At 36.6% G+C, this 22,881-nt stretch overlaps 1 protein-coding gene across 7 annotated transcripts in view; it reads left to right on the forward strand.

Moving 5' to 3' along the window:
* The window catches only part of CNTN5 (contactin 5), a 1,337,937-nt gene that overhangs the window by 1,238,591 nt on the left and 76,465 nt on the right, over window positions 1-22,881 (forward strand). For all 7 annotated transcript variants that reach the window (XM_017017926.2, NM_014361.4, XM_011542871.2 and 4 more), the window contains one exon: window positions 11,553-11,702. In XM_017017926.2, the coding sequence (XP_016873415.1) occupies window positions 11,553-11,702 (150 nt within the window). The remainder of the gene's footprint in view (window positions 1-11,552; window positions 11,703-22,881) is intronic.

A 22,881-nucleotide genomic window follows, 5' to 3' on the forward strand; every position in this document is an offset into this window, starting at 1 on the left:
TGGAAGTAAAACGCTCCTCAACAAATGCAAAATAATGGAAGTAATAACAAACAGTCTCTCACACCACAGTGCAATCAAACTAGAACTCAGGATTGAGAAACTCACTCGAAACCACACAACTACATGGAAACTGAAAAACCTGCTCCTGAATGACTACTGGGTAAATAATGAAATTAAGGCAGAAATAAATAAGTTCTTTGAAATCAATGAGAACAAAGAGACAACATACTAGAACCTCTGGGACACATTTAAAGCAGTGTTTAGAAGGAAATTTATAGCACTAAATGCCCACCGGAGAAAGCGGGAAAGATCTAAATTCAACACCATAAAATCACAATTAAAAGAACTAGAGAAGTCAGAGCAAACAAATTCAAAAGCTAGCAGAAGACAAGAAATAACTAAGACCACAATAGAAATGAAGGAGATAGAGAAACAAAAACCCTTCAAAAAATCAATGAATCCAGGAGCTGGTGTTTTGAAAAGATTAACAAAATAGATAAACCACTAGCCAGACTAATAAAGAAGAAAAGAGAGAAGAATCAAATAGACACAATAAAAAATGATAAAGGGGATATCACTACTGATCCCACAGAAATACAAACTACCACCAGAGAATACTGTAAACACCTCTTTGCAAATAAACTAGAAAATCTAGAAGAAATGGATAAACTCCAGGACATCTATACCCTCCCAAGAATAAACCAAGAAGAATTTGAATCCCTGAATAAACCAATAACAAGTTCTGAAACTGAGGAAGTAATTAATAGCCTACCAACCAAAAGAAGCCCAGGACCAGACAGATTCACAGCCGAATTCTACCAGAGGTACAAAGAGGAGATGGTACCATTCCTTCTGAAACTATTCCAAACATTAGAGAAAGAGGGACTCCTCCCTAACTCATTTTAAGAGGCCAACATCATCCTGATACCAAAACCTGACAGAGGCACAACAAAAAAAGAAAATTTCAGGCCAATATCCCTGGTGAATATCACTGGGAGAATCCTCAATAAAATACTGGCAATTCAAATCCAGCAGCACATCAAAAAGCTTATCCAAAATGATCAAGTCAGCTTCATCCCTGGGATTCAAGGCTGGTTCAACATATGCAGATCAATAAACATAATCCATCACATAAACAGAATCAATGACAAAAACCACATGATTATCTCAATATATGCAGAAAAGGAGTTTAATAAAATTCAACAACGCTTCATGCTAAAAACTCTCAATGAAATAGGTACTGATGGAACATATCTCAAAATAGTAAGAGTTATTTAGGATAAACACACAGCTAATATCATACTAAATGGGCAAAAACTGGAAGCATCCCCTTTGAAAACTGGCACAAGACAAGGATGCCCTCCATCACCATTTCTATTAAAAATAGTATCGGAAGTTTTGGCCAGGGCAATCAGGCAAGAGAAAGAAATAAATGGTATTCAAATAGGAAGAGAGGAAGTAAAATTGTCTCTGTTTGCACATGACATGACTGTATATTTAGAAAACCCCATTGTCTCAGCCCAAAACCTCCTTAAGCTGATAAGCAACTTCAGCAAAGTTTCAGGATACAAAAATCAATGGGCAAAAATTACAAGCATTCATATATACCAATAATAGACAAACAGAGAGCCAAATCATGAGTGAACTCCCATTCACAATTGCCACAAACAGAATAAAATACCTAGGAATAGAACTTACAAGGGATGTGAAGGACCTCCTCAAAGAGAACTACAAACTACTGCTCCAGGAAATAAGAGAGGACACAAACAAATGGAAAAACATTCCATGCTCTTGGATAGGAAGAATCAATATCATGAAAACTGCCATACTGCCCAAAGTAATTAATAGATTCAATGCTCTCCTCATCAAGCTGTCATTGACTTTCTTCACAGAATTATAAAAAACTACTTTAAATTTCATGTGGAACCAAAAAAGAGCCCGCATAGCCAAGACAATCCTAAGCAAAAAGAACAAACCTGGAGGCATCACGCTACCTGAACTCAAATTCTACTATAAGGCTACAGTAACCAAAACAGCATGGTACTGGTACCAAAACAGAGATACCGACCAATGGAGCAGAACAGAGACCTCAGAAATAACACCACACATGTAAAACCATCTGATCTTTGACAAACCTGACAAAAACAAGAAATGGGGAAAGGATTCCCTATTTAATAAATGGTATTGGGAAAACTGACTAGCTATATGCAGAAAACAGCAACTGGACCCCTTCCTTACACCTTATACAAAAATTAACTCAAGATGGATTTAAGACTTAAACGTAAGACCTAAAACCATAAAAACCCTGGAAGAAAACCTAGGCAATACCATTCAGGACATAGGCATGGGCAAAAACTTCATTACTAAAACACCAAAAGCAATGGCAACAAAAGCCAAAATTGGAAAATGGGATCTAATTAAACTAAAGATCTTCTGCACAGTGAAAGAAACTATCATCATAGTGAACAGCCAACCTACAGAATGGGAGAAAATGTTTGCAATCTATCCATCTGACAAAGGGCTAATATCCAGAATCTACAAAGAACTTAAACAAATTTACAAGAAAAAAACAACCCCATCAAAAAGTGGGCAAAGGATATGAACAGACACTTCCCCAAAAGAAGACATTTATGCAGCCAACAAATGTATGAAAAAAAGCTCATCATCACTGGTCATTAGGGAAATGTAAATCAAAACCACAAAACCATCTCATGCCAGTTAGAATGGCGATCATTAAAAGTCAGGAAACAACAGATGCTGGAGAGGATGTGGAGAAATAGGAATACTTTTACACTGTTGATGGGAGTGTAAATTAGTTCAACCTTTGTGGAGGACAGTGTGGTGATTCCTCAAGGATATAGAACTGGAAATATCATTTAACCCAGCAATCCTATTACTGGGTATATATCCAGAGGATTATAAATCACTGTACTATAAAGACACATGAACATGTATGTTTACTGCAGCACTATTCACAATAGCAAAGACTTGGAACCAACCCAAATGCCCATCAATGATAGCCTGGATGAAGAAAATGTGGCACATATATGCCATGGAATACTATGCAGCCATAAAAAAGGATGAGTTCATGTCCTTTGCAGGGACATGGATGAAGCTGGAAACCATCATTCTCAGCAAACTAACACAGGAACAGAAACCAAACACCACATGTTCTCACTCATAAGTGGAAGTTGAACAAGGAAAACACATGGACACAGGGAGGGGAGCATTACACACTGGGGCCTGCCAGGGAGTGGGGTCCTAGGGGAGGAATAGCATTAGGAGAAATACCTAATGTAGATGACGGGTTGATGGGTGCAGCAAACCACCATGGCATGTGTATTCCTATGTAACAAACCTGCACGTTCTACACATGTATCCCAGAACTTAAAGTATAATAAAAAAAAGAAAATCTGATATAAAATTACACTGCACAGCATTTTAATGCCTACTTCCAAGATGTTTGCATTATAGTTGCATTATTTTAAAAATTTTTTCATCTCTAATCATTTTCTTTTCATTTTACAACTTCCCATCTCTCTCCAAATGTGGCTGTCCAGCAGGGATATGTAAAATCACACTTACTGGATAGTTACTAGACACTTATTTAACATACTGGTATTTGAAAAGTGTACAGTAAGTCTACAGAAGAGAATCTTTAGAAGCAATTGTCCATACTGAGTAACAACTGTGTTTTTGTTTTAAACTCTAATGACCTCTATTGACCTGTTTTGAAATATAGAAATCAGTAAAATATTTGCACGCAGTAACCTTAAAACTCAACCAGAATATTATGAGGGTAAAGTGGTTCATTTTATTGTGTAGGTAAATGAAATTTGAGTTTTTGTATGAAACACTGTAATATCAGAAGGAGAAAATTTGTTTATCTATATGCAGAATTTAATTCAGAATTTATTTGATATTTAGGCTCCTGCATTGTTAGACCTCAGTTTGATCATTATAGTGTCTATAAACATATTTATTATGCATATATACATATTTATTTTGTATTATAGATAATTGCTCATATCAGCCTCATTCCTGGATCCATTATAACCCTGTGATACCTTTAAAGACCTCAAAATTGGAGAATTTCTAGGTATGGTAGTTAATTCAGGAAGGACACATTTAAACCACATGAGCAGATTTACTCAAAAATTCTTATAACCTTCAACCCTGTGCTTCAATCTTATTCTTAGTATGACAGCTTAAATCTTTGGCTCTGCAGCCAGGAGATGACCTCACCTTCAGATCTGGTGTTGTGCACTCATCTAATTCATCCTCTTGCCTACAGCCATGCTCCCTGTCTGCTCTTGCCACACTATCCATGCAGCTTACTTTTGGAGAGGTTTTCCTTGTGGATACATTGCAATACATGTGTGTTTTACTACTCATCCTATGCCCATAGCAATCCAGTACCTATCTTCTACCTGCTACATCCATGCTTCGCTAGTTACACTTATGTTCTGATTCTCACCTATGGTTTTCTTTCTCAGTTCACCTGTTTTTACTTTTTGTTTATATATATACATATGTGTGTATATATATATGTATATAAAAACATACATAATCATGTATGTGGAGGATTTAGGCATTTGAATTATTTTTGTGTTTGTTTTAGAAGTCCCTACTGTAAAGTTGCATCTTTATCTTTCTAATATTATTTGAATGCTAGAAATATTTTTAAATTTTTATTTTACTTTAAGTTCTGCAATACATGAGCAGAACGTGCAGGTTTGTTACACAGGTATATGGGTGCCATGGTGGTTTGCTGTGCCTATCAACCTGTCATCTAGGTTTTAAGCCCCACATGCATTAGGTGTTTGTCCTGATGCTCTCTCCTCCCCTCATCCCCTGACAGACCCCAGTATGTGTTGTTTCTCTCCCTGTGTCCATGTGTCCTCATTTTTCAGTTCCCACTTATCAGGGAGAACATGTGGCATTTGGTTTTCTGTTCCTGTGTTAGTTTGTCGAGGATGATGGCTTCCAGTTTCATCCACGTCCTGGCAAAGGATGTGAACTCATTCTTTTTTCATGACTACATAATACTCCGTGGTGTATATGTGCCACATTTCCTTTATCCAGTCTATTATTTATGGGCATTTGGGTTGCTTCCATGTCTCTGCTAATGTCAATAGTGCTGCAATAAACATATGTGTACATGTATCTTTATAGTAGAATGATTTGTATTCCTTTGGGTATGTACCCAGTAATGCGATTGCTGGGTCAAATGGTATTTCTGGTTCTAGATCCTTGAGAAATCACCACACTGTCTTCCCCAAGGGTCGAGCTAATTTACATTCCCACCAACAGTATAAAAGTGTTCCTATTTCTCCACAGCCTCACCAACATCTGTTTTTTCTTGACTTTTTAGTAATCGCCATTCTGACTGGCATGAGATGGTATCTCATTGTAATTCTGATTTGCATTTCTCTAATGATAAGTGATGTTGTGGGGTTTTTTTATATGTTTGTTGGCCACATAAATGTCTTTTTTTGAGAAGTGTTTGCTCATATCCTTTGCCCACTTTTTGATGGTGATATTTTTCAGAGTTCTTTTTTAATTCAATTCAGCAAGAACAACACTTCTAAAAACCCAAGAATTGTGCTGTACTTATACAAAAGTTTTCCTTCAGAAAACGATTTCTGCAAGTGATCAATTGTATTTACCCTTCATGGTGCTAGGGCTATCACTAGATGTGTCCTCTTCTAACTCATTTCTCCAAAACGCACCATTAATTGCAGCTATTGGCAGAGGCATGCTGTCCTCAGGGAAAGCCTGATGAGGAGCTGTCCACAAGGTTTGCATGCTCCAAAATAGCTCTTTTAGATGCTTCCTGGTTTTAGTACCATGCTCATTCTCACAATTTCTTTCATGCCTGTGATGGGGAAATAAGTCTCTCTGGAGCCACACCAGCTCCACTAGGTCATGGGCCTTTTGGTTTCATAGTTGCTCCCTCATTCTAAATTAATTTCAATCAAAATTAACTCTAATTTAACAATATCCATTAGAAAAAAAATGAATCTGGAGTTTAAACTCGCTGACACAGTTAATGCAATTGATAATCTACTACTTGAAAAGCATTTAAAATATACCAAAATGAGCATAAAAAATAATGTCTCATTTTTGGCAAATGAAGTGAGAGGTTCCACATGAACCCTCTAGCTGAGCACATCTTGGATTTAACGTATGAATACCGCCTCCTGCAAATGAGACTAAAATGTAAATGGGAATAACTTGTTTATTTTGAAAAAAGTATGCAAACAGCCATAACATCTCACTTGCAGACCTCTTTTCCACTCAAGCAAATGGCTTTTGACTTAGAAACCTGACTTTCTTTTTTATATTACTGAGAAGCATTAGCTGACATAGTTTTTGATTATGTCTACTTAGGAATATAAAATTGCCTATAATCATAGAATTCATTGGTCTTTGTTTACTTAACTCAGATATGCTTCTTAAATATTCTATCAGTGGATATGTCTTCTATCTGTGGATATGTTTTGCACAGATTGGTTACATTTTTCAACTGAACAGATTTATTTGGTATTTTATTAATTAAATTGGTGGCTGGATTTGGGTGGCTCATACTTGTGGTCTCAGCACTTTGGGACATCCTGAGGTGGGAGGATCACTTAGGGCCAGGAGATTGAGACGAGCCTGGACAACAGAAGGAGATCTTGTCTCAAAATAAACAGTCTTAGATGTGATTCTTTTGCTTGGAAAGGCAGTTCAAAAAGATGCTTTCCCTGAGTCACTATAAGGTCTTCCACTGTCTTTCGTTGCTGTCATGTTCTCTCTGATGCACAATGTTTTCTTTGAAACCAAGTTGTCCCTAAAGTTCTGGAAATAATAACTTTATAAAAAGATGCTGCAAGACTTTTAAAATACTTACTTTGGTATAAATCCTCCATTATCCTTAATCTCCATAATATTGCATTTCAAATCAAAACCCTAATTGTATAAAAGAGAAAGTTTTTACTTTCTTTCATATTGCATTATATTTCACCAAAAATAATAATACCTTCAATTAATACTTATAATTATTTTATATCTCTTACAAGCAACAGGGAATTTAGAATTTCCAAATCTTTTTTTTTTTTTTTCACTTTAAAGAGAGGAATGAAGGGTGGTGGAAAGGATATGGACTTGGAAAGGGAGTCTTTAAAATCTCTAGTTATGACCAAGAGGATATAAATATGCATAACTTTGGAAGGAAGATTATTTTTATATGTATTTTACATAAAGCTTATAATAATTACATCAAGATTCAAGCAGAATTAATTAATATTGCCAATTCTGATCACACTAGGCAATTTGAACTCTCATTCATTTAATAAAAGTTTACCAAGCGCCTTTTAGGAAGTGTTCTAGGCACATGCAGTGTATCAATGAACAACACCAAATAAATAAATCCTTGCCCTTGTGAAGACTGTATTCTTACAGGTGAAGACAAACAATAAACAGAGAACATAATAAGAAAGTAAATTATATAGTATCTTAGAAGTTGATGAGTACTATGGGGGAAAATAAATTAAATGGAGTAAGAGGAATCAGAAGTACTATGGCAGGGTCAGTGTATCAGTCAACTCAGGCTGCTATAACAAAATTCCATGGACTGAGTGGATTAAACAACAGAAATTTACTTTATTACAGTTCTAGAGGTTGGGAGTTCCAACATCAAGTGGCCTTCTTTGTTTTCACATGAATCAACCACACACACACACACACACACACACACAGAGAGAGAGAGAAAGAGAGAGTGAGCAAGCTCAAGTGTCCCATCCTATAAGGACACTAAGATCACAGCCCCACTCTTATGACATCATTTAACTTTAATTACTTCCTTAGAAGCTCTATCACCAAATGCAACCACATTAGGGGTTAGGACTTTAATAGATGAATTTCAGGAGGACACATTAGTCCATAGCAGGAAGGTTGTAATTTGAAATAGAGTGGTCAGGGTATGCCTTACCGAGAAGGTATATTTGCATGAATTTTATAAGAGGTATGAACTTAGCTATCCCAATATCTAGGGGAAGGCAGCCCAGGTATAAGGAGCAACTAGAGCAAAAGTATTAGGAACATGATATGCAAGAGCATTAGAGGATCAGTGAGGCAGGAGCAGAATGAGGTTTAGGGAGAAATGTAGATGAGTTTTGAGAGATATTGGCAAGACCAGATCATACAGTACTTGGGTTTTCACCGTCAGAGAAATAAGACGTCGGAGGATTGCTTTTCTAAGTCTTATGTTTTAATACAGTCATTCAAGCTATGTGAAAAAATAGACTTATGGGAGGGGTAAGTGAAGAGTGACTAAACTATTTAGGAAGCTGTTATTATGATTGAGAGATGATGGTGCTTCAATGTGACAGAAGCTTGGTGACGCAGGTCACTGATGCTTTTATGACAGAGGTCATAAAAATGGTCAGAATTTGAAACTATTTGGGTGGTAAAACCAACAGCATTTGCTGAAAAACTGGATGTAAACAGTATGAGAGAAAAAGAATTCAAGGATGACTGTAAGATTTTTGACCTAACCAACTTAAGAATGGAGTTACTGTTAAGTGACATGGAGAAGCCTGAGAAACCTTCATAATTGGAACAGATTGGGTAGGAATGAGATAAAGAGTTCCATTTGAGACACATTAAGTTGATGTATCTGTTAGACATCCAAATGGGATTTCAGGTAGGCATTTGGATATATAAGTATGGTGTTTAAGTGAGAGGTTTAGCGTAAAGTTATTGGCATATAAATAATTTAAAATATGAGACTGTATGTCAACTCCAAGAAAGTAAGTATAAAATAAAGAATAAAAATTATGAAAATAACACCCTGGAGCATTGTAACAGTAAGAAGTTGTGGAGAAGAGAACCAGCCAAAGGCGGCAGAATGAAAGCAATCATTGAGGTAAAAGGAAAACCAAAATAATGTCATGCCATGGAAAATAAAGGAATAAAGCCTATCAAAGAAAAGGGCCTAATGAGCTGTGTCAAATGCTACTGAGATGTCAAGTAAAATGAAGACTGAGAATTGATCATTAGTTTTAGCTATATGGAGGTCATTGGTAACCTTGACAATAGCAGTTTTTATGTAATGGTAGGCATCAGCATCAAAGTCCATCAAGAATGAGTTCCAGAGACAATAGGAGAAAAATTAATATAGACAACTCTTCCAAGAAATCTTTCTGCCAAGATAAGTGGAGATATCAACATAGTTTGAAGTCATAGATGCCATAATTTTCTAATGGATTGGAGTGAGACAGGGGAGAAAGAAAGGAGTCCAGGACGGCCCGAAGATTTGGGATACAACATCTGTAAGAAAGCAATTGTCATTCCCCGTATAAGAATACCGCAGAAATCTATTCAAATAGTAATGTCTATTAATAATATGCCACTGAACATATGAGTCTGAAATCTAGGGAAGAGGTTCATTAAAAATATTAGTTAACAGCATAGAGAGTATCTAAAACCATGAGGCTGGATAAATCACCATGGAATAAGAAAATGGAAAACAGTAGAGCCATTTGCATCAGGAAGACAAAACGAAATCAGCAATGGAGACTGATAAGGCGTAGTCAGGTGGGAGAGAAACAGAAGTTAAGTTTTGAAAAGTGTTTCAAAGGATGATCAACTGTGTCAAAGGATGATGATAGTTCAAGTGAGATGAGTAATAGAGATCTGGCCTTAAGGTTTCAGTAACAGAGACCATTCACTGGTAATCTTGACAGAAGCCAGTATGATGGAAAACTGGAGGTAAGAGTCTGAATAGCATGGGTTCAAAAGAGAATGGAAGAAAAATAATTGCAGACAGTAAGTAATAGCACAAACAGTTCTCAAAAGAGTCAGAGAAACTGAGCGAAGGCTGGAAGGAGAGGAAATGTTAAGAGACCTTAGTTTTGTTTTTCAGAGAAAAACACCTGCATGCTTGTATGCTGATGGGAAACATCCATTAGAGATGTGGGAGAGAGAGGAAAAAAGGGCTGGTTCTTTTTCTCCGTGATATCTTAAGAGGTCCACCCCTTAATAAGGGTAAAATTTCTTTAGTTTCTATTGGAGTAAAAAGTTGTAGGAATGCCCAGAGAGGAGATTAAGTATATAGGGGATTTTGCTAATGACAGATCATAAATTCCAACTGTCACAGTGGAAGAACTTCAAGAATGAGGGAGAGATATGTGCTGGGCAGAAGAGGAAATTGGCAGAATTCTCAGGAGGTTAGAATAAAAGGGCTGAGCATGGTCCAGATGTCTGGAGTTACTTGAGATGACTTATATAAGTAAATGAAACAGTGATGTTAAGTCCTGGTGCTCCCAATGCAAGTGTTGGTGATACAGTGTAGGTTCTGGGCTAGAGAAGGCTGAGCATGATCTGGGAATGCCTTCTTCTCTTTTGTATGTTTGTCAAGCATAGCTCGGCATTTCACCAAGCTGTGGTCTGACAGTGGCCTTTCCCTCACCCACCTCTTAGACTCCAAGCGTACTGCTCAGTTGCCAGTGCAGCAAGAGGGAACAGAGTTGTTTTTTGTTTGTTTGTTTTTTTCCATGTCTTCATGTCACTGCTTTAAAAAAACACATCAGCCCTGCAGTGCTGTGAGATTTGTCGGGCAGCTCACACTGCCTATGCTCTGAGCATTCACCTTTCACAGAGCTACTTATTTGGTAACATTCTTTTGGTACCTTTCAGAAGAGATTTTCATGGAAAATCCAAGGCGATTTCATTCCACCTTGCTGTGGTAAAAACAGAATTGAGTCCTCAAATCAAAATCCCCAACTCCCACCCCGGCTCTACTGCCATGCCTACAAAGAAATCCAAGAATGATATAAATCCAGAGGATCTTTGCATGCTGTAAGGGAGATTCTCCACATTCTGCCTTTTCACTCCTGTAACAAATGTTTAGAAACATTTCCTAGACAGCAGAGATGAGTGAACAAGAAAAGCAGTCCCAAATAAAGCATGCATGCCATGTAAAAATACTTCACTAATGGTAATTGTATTGACAAACAATGTTATGCCCTGACAAAAATTTAAATGTAGTACAAAAATGTAAAGGTAGTACAAAAATCACTCTAAGAATTCAATGTTTCTACTCAGATATCACAAACTGTGTTTTTAAATTAGAGAGATATATTCTTAATTTGCTGCTTGGAATTACCAAGTGACTAAACATGTTTGCCAGAACTGGGAGAGCAAACTGCTCAAGAAATTTCCTAGAAAATGAAAGAAAACTGTTTAAATTATAGTTCTAATTGGCCCCTTATCTGGGGCTGAGGGATTGATGAAATAATTATTAGTGTACATAATGGTGAGGTTTGTGTAAAGATAAAATGAAAGAGTCCTAATTAACTCCAACAAACTTTGACATATGTAAGTGCTTACTCCCTGAAGATTGATTTTCATTTTACTAATGACACTGGAGGTGACACCATGACCACGTGTCGTGAGGAAATATGCATTAGCCTTCTGATTCTGTCAGTAGCATTAATATTCTTGATTGCCATTTGTAGCATTTTTCTAGTCCTCATAATGACATGAAATTTCCTTCCTTTCTATAGTCCCAGAAATCATAACAGGGGACATGGAGTCAGCCATGGCTGTGGACCTAAATCCCTGGGTGGAATATGAATTTCGAGTGGTAGCCACCAACCCTATTGGGACAGGAGATCCAAGCACCCCATCTCGAATGATCCGCACAAATGAAGCAGGTAAAAATTTGGAAGAGTCAGATTGGATTTGGTATGCTTCTAATCGTCTTGAAAGTGAGTTGAATTAACCATGATTGCTCCATTGCTTGCTTTAGCATAATTTGTCCTGATTCATTTACCTAAACATCATAAAATTATTTTCTTTAAAATAATTATTTCATTTTATTTGTTCTCAGAACTTTTTCTCCCTGTTTCCACAAATACAGTCATCTAAATGCTTCAATTTTCTCCCAATCCTTGTACTCATCTTCAGGTTACCATGAAATTAAAGCAGTTCATTTATTCTTCTAATAATATACTCATTCAATATAGCATACACTTAAGATTTAGAATAAATCGGTTCACCTTCTTTTTTTCCAGTGATACTTTACTTGAATTACAGTGTACTTCCTTAGAACTCTTTTATGTTACCCTTCACCACAAAACCCATATAAATTACACTTTGCAAATAGTAAACATTGCCCTTCCTTGACCTACTGCCTTCCTGAAGTCTATATGTAAAATAAATACCAATCTGCTCCTTGACTTTGAAAACATTACATTATTCTCAGCTTTTAGAAAAAGCATATCTGATAAAAGGTTTCTAATGACTGAGGAATTAACAGCTCTATTTGAATTTTAAGATATCTTGCCTATCACCTGGAAGGTGCAGAAAAATAAAGAAATAAGGAATACAGAAATTTTCTGAGTAGATTTTTATGACTTTGGACAAAGTCTCATTGAGGTCTTTTATGTCCCTCTAATGTTGTATATTAAGAAAGTATCTGGTTAGACATTTACTTAGGGGAACACAAACATGAATGTTGATAAGAACAATATGAAAACAATAGAAAGAGGAGGATCAGGGATAGGTATAGGGAGGAAGAAATAACAAATGCTAATGTTTTTATGCTCAATGATAATATATGAGTCTCAAATAAAAGTGCACTGAAAATGAAGGTTTGTCATATATGTTCACTGCCCTATACTGAAACCTAGAACAGTGTTTGGTACTGGTACTCAGCATGTCATATTTTTAAAGGGAACAATTTTTTCCTTTATGTCCCCCTACACACACCAGTACATAGGTCAGATACACATATACATACAAGACTAAGAATTAACTGTGTCCATTGTGTATTATAGTTATAGAACTGAACCAAAAATATGACTTTTGACCTCTAACAAATTAAACAAAGCTTATAATCATTAAAATAAACTCTCAAAACAGTTGACTTTTTCTCTAAAACATATTATGGCCCTCTCAGAAGGAAGGAAGGAAGGAAGGAGAATGGAGGAAGGGAGGGAGGGAAAAGAAAGAAAAAAAAATCCCAAGATGGCCCACTAGACTCAAGACAAATGGAACAGCTCCTACTGAGGGACCCAGAGGACTAGAGTGCTCCTAACAGATCTTCACAGGGAAGGCACTGAGAGTGGACAGAGGGAAAACACAGAGGTTGGGCTGATTGGGGGAAAACGTTGGGACCCCTACGCGGGGCTACAGCACACCCGGATTTATTTCTGGCCCCCAACAGCTCTGGGGGAATTGGTGAGTTGAACTGGCAAGGAGCAACCCACTCTTGCCACAGGCCTCTGGAACCCCAGCAGAAGGAGACCCCCTAGACCACCACGGACTCTGGACTTGGCAGGGAGAGCTGCATACAGAAGTGGTAGGAGCTGCAAGCCAGCTGATGTGGAGCCCAGAGGGTTTGGTGCAAGAGCATCTGTAGTGAAGCATGGTCAGGGATGGCCATCCCCCTAGGTTCGATTTGCTCCATAGGAGACTTTAGCCCTAGGGGAACTTTCTGTCTGTCCTGAACTCTGTAAGGCAGTTTTGCCCATCAGATGGGGCCAGTCCCACCTAAGCAACACCTTAGTCTGCTGGCCTCTCCCCGAGCCTCAGTATGGCCACACCTGCTTGCAGGGCGCCCTCGGGAGCCTTGAGAGGCCTCACAATAGCTTCTCCTCTGGCAGACCCTGACTGAAAGGCAGAGAGCTTAAGCAGGGCGGCTCCTATGGCCACTCACCAGCCTGCACAGTCTTTCCCCACACTGCAGCCGCAGCGTCCCCGACATCCCTCCATGGGACAACTCCCACATGAGTTTGCTGGGCGTGTCTGCTTAGGGGTAGGGGTGGGGATTTGGGTTTGCTTTCCTTGCCCTGACAGCGCCTGGTAGTACAGTCTGCTCCCCTTCCCCTGCCAACCACCGTTGCAGACAGAGTCTTAGTGGGTACAGAGCCAGCAAGCCCTGTCCCAACAAGTACCCCACCCTTGCTTTAAGAATGCGCAGATGACAGCGGATCCTCCCCCACCTTGAGTGACCCCTCCAGCTTGCAGAGCAGAGAAGGCACCCAGACCTGCACCTGTCAGTGCCCTGCCCCCAGCCAACACCACCTCCAGTGCAAGCAGGCACACAGTTGTCATCAGGCACCCGCTACCACCACCATCGCTCCAGGCCCAACCTCAACTGCATTGCCTCCGCCACTGTGGTGAATGTCCCCAGGGAGACAGGCACCCAGGAACCCGCTAGCACTCAAAAATAGAAAGATTCAATATCATTAAAATGAACATACTGCCCAAAGCAATTTATAGAGTTCATGGTATTTCTATTAAACTACCATTGACATTCTTCACTGAACTACTAAAACTATTTTAAAATTCATATGAACCAAAAAAGAGTCAAAATAGAGAAGGCAATGCTAAGCAAAAAGAAGAAAGCTGGAGGCAACATGTTACCCAACTTCAAACTATACTACAGCGCTACAGTAACCAAAACAGCATGGTACTGGTACTAAAACAGACATACAGATGAGCGGAACAGAATAGAGAGTGCAGAAATATGAACTAACTCCTACAACCATCTGATTTTCGACAAATCTGACAAAAACAAGCACTGGGGAAAGGATACCCTATTCAATAAATGGTGCTGAGATAACTGGCTAGCCATATGCAGAAGATTGAAACTGGACCACTTCCTTTCACTGTATACAAAAATTAACTCAAGATGGATTAAAGACTTAAATGTAAGATACAAAACTATCAAAATGCTAGAAAACAACCTAGGTAATACTGTTCTGGTCATAGGAACAGGCAAAGATTTCATGATGAAGATGACAAAAGCAATTACAACAAAAACAAAAATTGACAAATGGGTTCTAATTAAACTTAAGAGCTTCTGCACAGTGAAAGAAACTGTCAACAGAGTAAACAGATAACCCACAGAATATGATAAAATTTTTGCAAACTCTATATCTGATAAAGGTCTAATATCCAGCATCTATAAGGAACTTAAACAAATTTACAAGAAAAAAACAAACAGCCCCATTAAAAAGTGAGCAAAGGACATGTGTAGACACTTTTCAAAAGAAGACATACACGTGGCCAACAATCATGTGAGAAAAAGCTCAACATCACTGATCCTCAGAGAAATACAAAATGCAATAACATTAAAACCGCAAATGAGATACCATCTCATGCCTGTCACAATGGCTATTACTAAAAAGTCAAAAAATAACAGATGCTGGCAAGGTTGCAGAGAAAAAAGAACACTTATACACTGTTGGTGGGAGTATAAATTAGGTCAACCATTGTGGAAGAAAGTGTGACGACAACTCAAAGACCTAAAAACAGAAAAAACATTCGACCCGATACTCCCATTACTGGGTATGTGCTCAAAGGCTTAATACCTGGGTGATGAAATAATCTGTACAACAAACCCCCATGTCACAAGTTTACCTATGTAACAAACCTGCACATGTACCCGTGAACTTAAAAGTTTAATTGCCAAAAAAATCCACATGATCAAATTATCACATTAAAAGTAAATAACAATACAAAAGATGTTCAGTTTTTTTCCATATAAAAATTAAACAACCAAAAAAAAAAGGTAAAATGGCTTAAATATGTTGGAAAAGGTTCATCCACAGAAAATCCAACTTCTCCACTTTTGTGATTTGCCTATTATAAGTTGTTTTTTTCTGCTACCTTTTCAATAGCATGAATTTTAAATTAAACATTAATTGCCTGGTTAGATTTTCATGCATCCATAAAACCAGCCATGCTTTCATTGTGTACAGGTGTTCATTAATTAAGAGCATAACAGGTTAGTTGTTCTTCATTTTATGTACTCACTGTGCAGCTACTGAAATGACTGCCAATAGTAGTACTTATGCTCACATATTTTCTAAAAAGCGCTGCCTTACTTTGCATATTGTTAATTGTGTTTAAACAAAGGCAAAGATTACTGACTAATTCAGAGGCTCTCTATAAATATTCATTTCAAAAATAAATAATCCATTTGGGATGAATAATCCTTTTCAACTTTTTATGGTATGAATCTCCTTGTGCTATTAAAAAGCATTTTAGCAAGATCACTTTTACATTTCAAGCTAAAGTGTATTCAGATTGTGCATTTTAAAAGAATTTCTATTTCTGCAGCTACCTCAATCATGTATTGCCTGTCTCTATTTTATCATGAGTTCTATATACATGACATACTTTAGTCCATTAAAATCTTATGGAAGAGAAGTAGCATGAAAAATGCACGAAGTACTCTCCTTTGAAAGTGAGTTGAGGAAGGTTTGTATTGCATCCTTTATGCTTCCTGTACTGTGGTACTACATAGGGTTAGAGCTACTAATGGTGTTGAGCCAAGTGTTGAGTTATGTGCCTGTTTTGTCAGGCAGCACAGATTTAAAGAGACACCAATGTCTGGAGACATCCTCTCAAATGATGCACTCTGCCTCTATTAAGTACATATCCAGTATTTTAAAAGATAATGCTGCTCTAAAGAGCCAACTAAACTTTGAAAATAGAGCTGCTTGGGAGAAAAAAGGTCTCACATTAGGGATGTTGAATTGAAAGTGGTATGCCTCTTTAAGGTTCACTTATTTAATAGAATATTCTAAATTCCAAAGCAGTGCAGTGAACTATTCTGTCATAGAATTGCCCCTTTTCTGCATGCCAAAAAACAGAATTTTTCTTTACAATTTTTCTGAAGAGTATATTTTGAATTTTCCGGTCATCAAGAAATACTCGGTCAGGCACGGTGGCTCATGCCTATAATCTCAGCACTTTGGGACGCTGAAGCATAGGTATCATCTGAGCCCAGGAATTCAAGACCAGCCTGGCCAACATGGCAAAAACCATCTCTGCTAAACATATAAAAATCAGCCAGGCATGGTGGCACACACCTGTAATTTTAGCTATTCAGATGACTGAGGCATGAGAACCCGGGAGGCAGAGGTTGCACTGAGCAGACATTGCACCACTGCACTCCAGCCTGGGTGACAGAGTGAGACTCTCTCAAAAAAAAAAAAAAAAAAAAAAAAAGGAAAGAAACACTCTTGATAGTCAGCAAAGCTAAGATAAATTGGTTCAGTCCAATTTCTTAGTATTAGGATGTCAAAATCATAATACAAATATATATTTTTATGCACACATTTCACTTTTAATTTATGTGGGTATACAGTAGGTATATATATTTTGGGGTTACATGAGATATTTTGATACAGGCATACAATGCTTAGTAATCATATCAGGATAAATAGGGTATTCATCCCCTCAAGCATCTATCCTTTGTGTTTCAAACAATCCAATAATACACTTCTGGTCAGTTTAAAATGTACAATTAATTTTTTTTTTTTACTATAGTCACCCTGTTATGCTAGCAAATACTAGGTCTTATTTATTCTTTCTAATTTTTTTTTATATCCATTAACCATCTTCCCTTCCCCCCAACCCCCACTACCAACTACACTTCCCAGCCTCTGGTAACCAACCTTCTACTCTCTATTTACATGAGTTCGATTGTTTTAATTTTTAGCTCTTACCAATGAGTGAGAACATGTGATGTTTGTCTTTCTGTGCCTGGCTTATTTCACTTAACATGATGATCTCCAGATCCATCCATGTTGTTGCAAATGACAGGATTTCATTCTTTTGTATGGCTCAATAATACTACGTTGTGTACAAGTACCACATTTTCTTTATCCATTCATCTGCTGATGGACATTTAAGTTGCTTCCAGATATTGGCTATGGTGAATATTACTGCAATAAATGTGGGAGTGCAGATATCACTTCAATAAACTAATTTCCTTTCTTTGGATATATACCTAGGAGTGGGATTGCTAGATCATATGGTAGCTCTATTTTTAGTTTTCTGAGAAACCTCCAAACTGTTCTCCGTAGTGTTGTACTAATTTATGTTCCCACCAACAGTGTATGAGTGTTTCCTTTTCTCTAGATCCTCACTAGCATTTGTTATTGCCTGTCTTTTGAATATAAGCCATGTAAACTGGGGTGAAATTACATCTTATTGAAGTTTTGATTTGCATTCCCCTGATGATCAATTATGCTGAGCACATTTTCATATGCTCAGACTTATATGTCTTCTTTTGAGAAATGTCTTTTCAAATCTTTTGCCCATTTTATGAATTGGGTTTTTTTTATTTTTTTTCCTACATAATTGACTTCTTTATATATTCTGTTTATCAATCCTTTGGCAGACAGGTAGTTTGCAAATATTTTCTCCCATTCTGTGGGTTGTCTCTTCACTTGTTTACTGTTTCCTTTGCTGTGTAGAAGCTTTTTAAATTATCCTATTTGTCTATTTTTGCTTTAGTTTTCTGTGCTTGTGGTATATTGCTCAAGAAGTCTTTGCCTACTCCGTTGTCTTGCACAGTTTCCCCAATGTTTTCCTGTAGTAGTTTCATATTTTGAGGTCTTAGATTTGAATCTTTAATACATTTTGATTTGATTTTTATATGGCAAGGTATAAGAGTCTAGTTTCACTTTTCTACATGTAGCTATCCAGTTTTCCCAGAACTATTTAGTGAAGAGACTGTCCTTTCTTTGATGTATGTTCTGAGAATTTTTATTGGAAATAAGTTCATTGCAGATGTATGGATTTATGTTGGAGGTCCTCTATTCTGTTCCATTGGTCAATGTGTCTGTTTTTATGCCAGGGCCATGCTGTTTTTATCACTGTAGCTCTCAAGTATAATTTAAAGTCTGGTAATGTGATTCCACCAGTTTTGTTCTTTTTGCTTAGGATAGTTTTGGCTATTCTAGCTCTTTTGTGATCTGATATAAACTTAAGAATTGTTTTTTCTATTTCTGTGAAGAATATCATTGTTATTTTGATAGGGATTGCATTAAATCTCTAGATTGCTTTGGATAGTATGGACATTTTAACAATATTGTTTCTTACAATTCATGAACAGGGAATATCTTTCTATTATTTTGTGTCCTTTTCAATGTATTGCATCAGTTTTACAGTTTTCATTATAGAGATATTTCATTTATTTGGTTAATTCCTAAGTGTTGTATTTTATTTGTAGCTATTGTAAATAAGATAAGTTTCTTGATTTCTTTTTCAGATTGTTCACAGTTTGCATATAAAAATGCTACTGATTTTTGTATGTTGATTTTGTATCCTGAAAATTTACTAAATTTGTTCATCAGTTCTAATTGTTTTTTGATGGGGTCTTTAGATTTTCCCAAACATAAGATTATATCATCTGCAAACAAGAAAAAGTTGATGTCTTCCTTTCCAATTTGGATGCCTTTTATATATTTCTCCTGTCTGATTGCTCTAGCTAGGACTTCCAGTACTATGCTGAAAAATAGTGGTGAAACTGGGCATTCTTGTCATGTTCCAGATCTAGGAGGAAAGACTTTCAGTCTTTCCCCATTTAATATAATACTAGCTGTGAGTTCATCATATGATTTTTATGATGTTGAGTTATATTCCTTCTATACCCAGTTTGTTGAGAATTTTTATCATGAAGAGATGCTAAATTTTATCAAATGCTTTTTCAACATCAATTGAAATGGTCATAGGTGTTTTGTCCTTCATTCTGTTGGTATAATGTATCACATTGACTTATTTGTGTATGTTGAATTTGCCTTGCATCCCAGGGATAAATTCCACTTGGTCATGATGAATGAACTTTTTAATGTGTTATTGAATTCAGTTTGCTGGTATTTTGTTGAGAAATTTTGCATTGATACTTACCAGTGATACCAGTCTATAGGTTTTTTTTTTCTTTTTTGATACGTCTTTGTCTATTTTTGGTACCAGGATAATACTGGCCTCATAGAATGAATTTGGAAGTGTTCCCTCCTTCTCTATTTTTTGAAATAGTTTGAGTAGGATTGGTTTTAGTTCTTCTTTAAATGTTTGGCAGAATTCAGCAGTGAAGCCATTGAGTCTGAGGCTTCTTTTTTTTTCCCTCTGGATGCCCATTTATTACAGCTTCAATCACACATTATCGATCTGCTTAAGTTTTGAATTTATTCATAGTTCAATCTTGATAGGTTGTATGTGTCTAGAAATTTGTCCATTTCTTCTAGATATTCCAATTTATTGGCACATAGTTGCTCATAGTAGCCTCTAATGATCCTTTGAATTTCTGCAGTGTGAGATGTAATGTCTCCTTTTTATGTCTGATTTTGCTTATTTGTGTACTCTCTTTTTTTCTTAGTCTGGCTAAAGATTTGTTCATTTTAACTTTAAAAAAACCTTTTTGTTCTATTGATCTTTTGTATTGTTTTCTTCATTTCATTTATTTCTGCTCTGATCTTTATTGTATTTTTCTTCTACTAATTTTGGGTTTGGTTTACTCTTGCTTTTCTAGTTCCTTAGGATGCCTCATTAGGTTGTTTATTTGAAGTTTTTCTTTTTCTTTTTTTTTTTTTTTTAATGATTTAGGCACTTATAGCTATGAAGTTTCCTCTTAGGATTGCTTTTGCTGTATCCCATAGGTCTTGGTATGCTGTGATTCCATTATCATTTGTTTCAAGAAATTTTTCAATTCCCTTCTTAATTTCTTCATTGACCCATGGGTCATTCAGGAGCATTTTTTTTGTGACCTAACATATGGCCTATCCTTGAGAATAACCTATGTGCTGAGGAAAAGAATGTGTATTCAGTCATTGGATAAAATGTTTTGAAAATATTAGGTCGATTTGGTCCACATTGTAAATTAAATCCAGTGTTTCTTTGTTGATTTTCTGTCTGGAAGGTCTGTCTAGTGCTGAAAGTGAGGTGTTAAAGTCTCCAGCTATTATTGCAGTGAGGCGTATCTCTCTTTCCTTACCTCTCATAATATTTCCTGTGTATATCTGGGTACTCAAGCATTGAGTGCACATGTATTTCAAATTGTTATATCCTCTTGCTGAATTCACCCCTTTATCTTTATATGGTGAACTTCTTTATGTCTTCTTATAGTTTTTGTCTTAAAATTTATTTTTTTCTCATATGAATATAGCTACTACTGCTCTTTTGTGATTTCCACTGGCATGAAATATGTTTTTCTATCCCTGTGTTTTCAATCTATGAGTGTCTTTATAGGTGAAGTGTGTTGCTTGTAGGAAACAGGTTATTGCGTATTATTTTTTTGACCATTCAGCCACTCTGTCTTTTGATTAGAGAGGTTAGTCCATTTACATGCAGTGTTACTATTGATAAGTAAGGACTTACTCCTGCCATTTTATTATTTGTTTTCTGGTTGTTTTGTGGTCTATTCTTCCTTCTTTCCTTTCTTCCTGCCTTCCTATTAGTGAAGGTGTTTTTCTCTAGTGATATGGTGTAATTTTCATTTTTTGTGTATCCCTTGTAAGTTTTTTGCTTTGAGGTTACCACGAGGTTTGCAAATACTGGCTTATAACCAATTATTTTAAGCCGGTAATAACTTATCACTGTTTGCAAACAAAACAAACAAGTAAAAAGAAAACTAGTAAAAAATCTACATCTTAAATTTAATCACCTCCTTTTTAACTTTCTGCTGTTTCTATTTATATCTTATTGTACTGTCTATGTATTTGAATGTTGTTGTAGTTATTATTTTTTATTGGTTCATCATTTAGTCTTTCTGCTTAGGATAAGAGTAGTTTATACTCCACAGTTACAGTGTTATAATATTCTGTGTTTTCCTGTGTACTTACTATTACCAATGAGTTTTTTACATTCAAATGATTATTTATTCCTCATTAATGTCCTTTTCTTTCTGATTGAAGTATTCTCTTTAGCATTTCTTGTGGGACAGGTCTGGTGTTGATGAAATCCCTCAGCTTTCTTTGTCTGGGAAGCCTTTATTTCTCCTTATGTTTGAAGGATATTTTCACCAGATATAATACTCTATGGTAAAAGTTTTTTTTCATTAGCACTTTAAATATGTCATACCGCTCTCTCCTGGCCTGTAAAGTTTCCACTGAAAAGTCTGCTGCCAGACATATTGGAGCTCCTTTGTATGTTATTTGTTTCTTTCTCTTACTGTTTTTAGGATCTTTTCTTTATCCTTGAGCTTTGGAAGTTTGATTATTAACTGTCTTGAGGCATTGTTCTTTGGGTTGAATCTGCTTGGTGTTCTATAACCTTCTTGTACTTAAATGTTAATATTTTTCTCTAGGTTTGGGAAGTTCTCTGATATTATCCATTTGAATAAACTTCATACCCCTATCTCTTTCTACCTTGTCTTTAAGGCCAAAACTCTTAGATTTGCCCTTTTGAGGCTATTTTCTAAATCTTGTAGGTGTGCTTCATTATTCTTTTTTCTTTTGTCTAGTCTGACGTATATTTTCAAATAGCCTATCTTAAAGTTTACTAATTCTTTCTTCTGCTAGATCAATTCTACTATTAAAAGACTCATGCTTTCTCCACTGTGTCAGTTGCATTTTTCAGCTCCAGAGTTTGTGTTGGATTCTCTTTATTATTTCAATCTCTTTGTTAAATTTGTCTGATAGAATTCTGAATTCTTTCTTGGCATTCTATTTTTTTTTTTTTTTTTTTACTTTCCTCATAACAGCTATTTTGATTTATCTGTCTGAAAGGTCACATATCTCCGTTTCTCCAGGATTGGTCCCCGGTGGCATATTTGGTTCATTTGCTGAAGTCGTGTTTTCCTGGATGGTCTTGATACTTGTGGATATTTATCTGTGTCTGGCCATTGAAGAGTTAGGCATTTATTGTAGTTTTTGCAGGCTGGGCTTGTTTGTAACCTGCCTTTCGTGGGCAGGCTTTTCCAGGTATTTGAAAGGACTTGCGTATTGTTATCTAGCTGTATCTGCTTTAGGGGACACCCCAAGCCCAGTAATGTAGTTCTTGGAGACTAGTAGAGGTACTGCCTTGATAATCTTGAAGAAGGTCTGAAAGAATTCTCTGGATTACCAGGCAGAGACTCTTGTTCTCTTTCCT

Source organism: Homo sapiens, chromosome 11 (genome assembly GCF_000001405.40).
Source record: "Homo sapiens chromosome 11, GRCh38.p14 Primary Assembly".
Classification (NCBI taxonomy): Eukaryota; Metazoa; Chordata; class Mammalia; order Primates; family Hominidae; genus Homo; species Homo sapiens.